General features: G+C 51.0%; 1 annotated feature.

Moving 5' to 3' along the window:
• Positions 476–1,019: an enhancer, noted in NCBI's record as "H3K4me1 hESC enhancer chr12:131212975-131213518 (GRCh37/hg19 assembly coordinates)". NCBI's record gives its function as "activates a minimal SCP1, AML or CMV promoter by ChIP-STARR-seq in naive H9 embryonic stem cells {active_cell/tissue: H9 hESC(naive)}" and the evidence as "EXISTENCE:reporter gene assay evidence [ECO:0000049][PMID:30033119]".

Here is a 5,576-nt window from a genome sequence, read left to right on the forward strand (position 1 = left end):
TATCACTAAATTTATACTATATACATGTTAGATATTACACATATTACACATATTCACACACATGCACATATATCCACATAGGATGCAAGCATCGAAGACAAAATCGGCCCTTGATAATCCACCAAAGTAAGACTGCGCCGTGCAGGATGGAAGGTTGGTATCTCAGGTCCCCTGACTCCTGGGTTCTGGGACTGTGGGAAGAGCTCTCCTCTCATCCAGAGCCTTGTGCCAGGGGGAAGGTGGAGCATCCACACTCACACTAGCACTCACACTCGCACTCACACACTCATACTCTCACACACACACTCGCACTCTCACAGTCACGCACTCGCTCACACTCGCACTCACACACTCACTTGCACTCACACTCGCACTCGCACACATACTCTCACTTGCACTCAGTCACACTCGAACTCGCACTTTCACACTCGCACTAGCACTCACACTCACTCACACCACTCATACTCGCACTCACATCACACACTCATACACACACTCACACTCGCACTCACACACTCATACACACTCATACACTCACTTGCACTCACATTCACAGTCACATATTCGCACTTGCATACACACGCTCACACACTCACTCGCACTTGCATTCACACTCGCACTCACACTTGCACTCACATACACTCACACTCACACTCATACACTCACTTGCACTCATTCAGTCACATAGTCACACTTGCATGCACACGCTCACACACTCAGTCGCACTCACATTCACACTCGCACTCACACTTGCACTCACACTCATACACACACACACTCACACTCACTTGCACTCACATTCACAGTCACATAGTCGCACTTGCATGCACACGCTCACACACTCGCACTCACACTCACACTCGCACTCACTCTCACACTCGCACTCACTCACACACGTGCACTCACACTCCCTGTGGAGACACCTGTCCCAACAGCCACAGCAGCTCCCACTGAGGCTGTCTGAGCAATGGCTCCATGTCCCGGGGCTGCCACCGAGCAGCTCTTCCTGGGCTGGAAAATCACAGTCCCACGTCCCGCCGTACACTGCTGTGGCTGTGGGTGACTCCGCGCTTGCTTCTTGTGTTTTTCAGTTTCCTATAACACATACATTAACTTTTTAAAAATAAAGGTTACTTTCAAAACCTGAGAAAAACAGAAAATCACAGTCCTTCAGGGCACAGTAAGAAAGGCTGAACCACCGGGCCCAGCTACTGGGGAAACTTACCCCCGAGTTCAGGAAATGCTAAGGGGGCCTGCGTCCCATCACAGTGCACACCCGGTCTCCCTCTGCAGGTGAGACAGGCCTTCCTCCACCTCCAGCAGGGGTGGGTGTGACGGGGGTGGGGAGGGGGGGGAGGAGAAAGAGGAGCAGAAGAAGAAAGAGAGGAAGAAAGGGGGAGAGACAGGCCGACCACTGTGGCTGGAGTAGAGAAGGTTCTCCTGCTGTGGACTCTGTGGCTGGAGTAGAGAAAGTTCCCTCACCCCCTCCCCCACCTTCCCCCACCCCTCCTCCCCACCCCTGCGCTGAAACTGCTTCCAGGCATTCTTCCTGCCCAGGCTGGTCAGCTTGCAGAGTGGATGCAGGACAGCAGGTCTTCCCGTGCCTCAGGGCTGATGTGAGGATCTGCCTGGCCCCTCTACTTAAAGGACGGGGTCATTCCATCAGGACATCTTTCCAAGCATTGACTCTGTGCCATGCACTGCCCGCGGTGCCCAGAGTTCAGCAGAGGCGCTGATAGGGCCCCTACTCTCACCGGGCCTCTGTGCTCAGGACGGAAAAGCAAACAGTAAACAAATACCAATCAACACTAGCAAGGCAGTTACAATCAGTGCTAAGAAACCAGGGACTGGGGAGAGATGGGCCTGGGGTGGCACGGGAGGGCCTGGGAAGGTGGCCGTGGAGGGAGTGATCTGGGGAATGAGGGAGCCGGTGTGCATGAGGAACGCGTGCCTGGTGGAGGGAATAGTGAGGACACAGGCCCCAGGAGGAGATGTACAGCATGTCTGAGGAACTGCAGAGGCCAGCATGGATGGGTTACAAGGAAGGAAGAAGGGAGGGAGGAAGGGAGGGAGAGAAGGGACCCGGAAGCCAGCTGGTGTGGCTTTTAGATGTGCAAGAACTCCTGCTTCATTGTGAGCAAGACAAGAGTCACTGGAGGGATCTGGGCAGAGCAACGCGGCCTGGTGTCTGCTGTTTTTAAAAGCTGGCTCTAACAGTCATCCCAGCGGAGCGCAAAGTCAAACATCACAATTCTCCACTGGCTCAGGGATGAAATCGTTTGGTAACAGCCAACAAGAAGGCAGCTGCCCTGCAGAGAAGGAACCCGGGAAGGGGCAGGGGCACACGCTGGCCACTGGCTGTTTCCACGCATCACTCTTAATACACTTCCCCAGAGAAGCAAAAAGCCGCTTAGAACCCACGTGCCTGGCGCTTCATCAGGCTCAGCCCCTGTGCTCACATCTACAAAGACATCATGTTCAAACCCAGAAGTCCCAGAGACGCGGTTTCTCTTATTTTATCTTCCTTCTGCTTAGAGTGTGTGTGTTTTTCTTCAGTCCCTTTAAGAACAAGAGCTGTTTACAGACTTTGGAATTTCTCCAAAAATTATAAAAAGAATGATTTGAAGCCCAACATAGCGAAGCACAGATAAACCCTGAAGGAGATTGGTTGGAGACATTTCTGACGGCCTTAGACAGCTCTGAATTGTTTCATCTCCTTGATTACGTGAAAAAAAAAAAAAACACTGAGAATATTTCACCTAAAAGCAGAGGAGACCCATGTTCATGAACAAGGAGCAGTAGAGACATTTTGGACTTTTTTTTTCCTTTGGTACAGAAATTTCAAAAATGTATGTGTCCCACCAATTACAGAGAAGGCCCCAGCGATGAAACCAGCATCAGTTTACCCAGCTCGTCAGGAAACCCAATAAACTCAAATAAAAAGCACTCGTCTTTCTTGATACTGCTTTAGCAGAACAGTTGAAAGCTTAAATCAGGGTTTGCAAAGTCAGATGCTGACCAGGGACTAAGCAGGTCACATGGGAGAGTCAACACCTAGCAAGAGACACGTGTCGCCCTGGGGTCTCGTATCTTCCAGCTTTTGATAGACACATAGGATTAAAGATATGTCACTTTCCTCTTACTTCTACTATAATAAAAGTGATAAGAAAACACTAGGTAGTTTCATCGGAGGAACTTGATATCCATTGCCAAACAGAGGATGGTGAGTATATGAGCTTGTCCAGGCTGCCATAACAAAATACAGCAGACACGTGGCTTAAACAATAGAGGCATATTATCTCGCAGCTCTGAAGGCTGGAGGTTCTGGATCAAGGTGTTAACAGGGCTGGTTCCTCCAGAGGCCTCTCTCCTCAGCTTACAGATGGCATCTTCTCCCTGTGTCCTCATCCCTCCATGCATATCTGTGTCCTAATCTCCTCTTTGTAAGAACACTGGTCCTATTGGGTCAGAGCCAGCCCTCATGACCTTATTTTAATTAAATCACCTCTTTAAAGACGCTGTCTCCAAATACAGTCACATGCTAAGGTGCTAGGAATTAGGGCTTCAATGTATAGATCTGGGAAGACACAACTCAGCCATGATAGAGAGGCACCCCAGAGACCACAGCAGGAAGCCAACACCATAGGCTGGGTAGGTAGGGAGAGCCCAGGACGGGGCTGCTCCCCAGAAGCTGGAGCCACAGAAGAAGGTGCTGTCCAGGGGAGCTGGGGCCACAAGAGATCCACGGGCATAGGTGGTGCTCTGAGCAGAGACAGCAGGAGAAATGCCCTGGCCCTTCTCTGCCCCACTCGCCAATCTCTGGAGATCCATAGCTTCCTGCATGGATCCTCCCTGCGGCCACCCAGCAAGAGAGCCTGGGGGTGTATTTTCAGGGGCCACGGAGCAGAGCAGGAAGTGAAGGGGGTGGACCCAAGAGCACACAGTCACTGACCTGCTCAGGGCCACCAGGTGGGTCGCCACCTAAGAAAGGAACCTTCTGAGTCTTTAAGACAAATTGGAGATCTGTGTGTTTATGTGGCATCTTCCCATTATTTCTCTTGTGTGTAGGTCTCCAGTATGCAATGTGCAGTTTAAAGTGATAAAGATGGTGGATGGAGGTTTCTTCCAACTGAATACAAGGAACACACAGGACCCTGTCCCAAGAGCCATGGGGGCACAGAGCCCCTCCCAAAGGGCCTAGATAAAGCAGGAAGCAGGAGGGCTTCCTGGAGAAAGCAGCCCCCACAACACCATGGATGAGGCCATCCCGAGAGCTAATCTAGAATGTTCCTAAACCAGGATCTTTACCAAATAATGATTCTGATCTCAGAAAACTGTGAGGGAACAAGACGGCGCCACGTGGAATGAGCAGGAGTCTATCTTGAACAACGTAAGAGGAAGACAGACCAGGCCAGGGGGTTTGGTGTCCAGCCTGTGGTGAGGATATTGGCCAATCCCTTCACAGGGACTCAGGGCAGAATCCCCCCAGTGACGTCTGTAGTCAATGTCTGAGTTATTTGTCGAACTATCCAGTCTTTCCTGAGCAAGCTTTGGTTGTTTGCGCAGTACCCTGGGCTAAGGACGCCGCTGGCTTCGTGATCAATAGCTATCGGCCAGGTAGGGGCCACCTGGCTGTTACAAGAGGCTGGGCCGTTGCAGATGCCTCACGCAATGTCCTATTCCCAGTGCACGTCTCAGCCTAGGTGCGTTGCTCACAACGACCACCTCCTGCTTTCTGCGCATGCTTCCCACCACTGTGCTCTTCCCCACCCTGCAAGACTTCCATAGACAGAATGTGGACTTCACGCAGCGCTGTTTGCAACAGCCAAGGTGTGGAAACAACTGACACGTCCATCAACAGATGAATGGATACACCAGACATGGTCCACGATCCACACCGTGGAATACTACACAGCCTTTCAAACGACGTCAGTTCTGCAACACGCAACAACACGGGTGGACCTTAACATTGCACCAAGTGGAATAAGCCAGTCTCAGAAGGACAAATCTTGTATGATGCCACTTAGATGAGGTCTCTGAAACTGTCAAATGCCTCACAGAAGCAGAGAGGAGAGTGGTGGCTGCCGTAGGCTGGAGAGGGAGCGCGGGGAGCTGTGGATCAATGGTGTAAAGTCTCAGCCACGCTAGGTGAGTGTGCACTAGAGATCTGGCACACTACATCAGGTCTGCAGTCAGCAATACTGTACTTTGTGCTTAAAAATTTCTTGAGGCCAGGTGTGGTGGCTCACACCTGTAACCCCAGCACTTTGGGAAGTTGAGGCAGGCAGATCACTTGAGGTCAGGAGTCAGCCTGGGCAACATGGTGAAACCCTGTCTCTACTAAAAAAAAAAAATACAAAAATACAAAAATTAGCCAGGTGTGGTGGCACACACCTGTAGTCCCAGCTACTGGAGGGGCTGGGGCAGGAGAATCACTTGAACCCAGGAGACGGAGGTTGCAGTGAGCCAAGATCGCACCACTACACTCCAGCCTGAACGACAGAGCAAGACTTCATCTCAAAAAAAATAAACGAATAAAAATAAAGACAGTTTCATTCCTTCTGTCCCAATCTGTA

This window comes from Homo sapiens, chromosome 12 (assembly GCF_000001405.40).
Source record: "Homo sapiens chromosome 12, GRCh38.p14 Primary Assembly".
Classification (NCBI taxonomy): domain Eukaryota; kingdom Metazoa; phylum Chordata; class Mammalia; order Primates; family Hominidae; genus Homo; species Homo sapiens.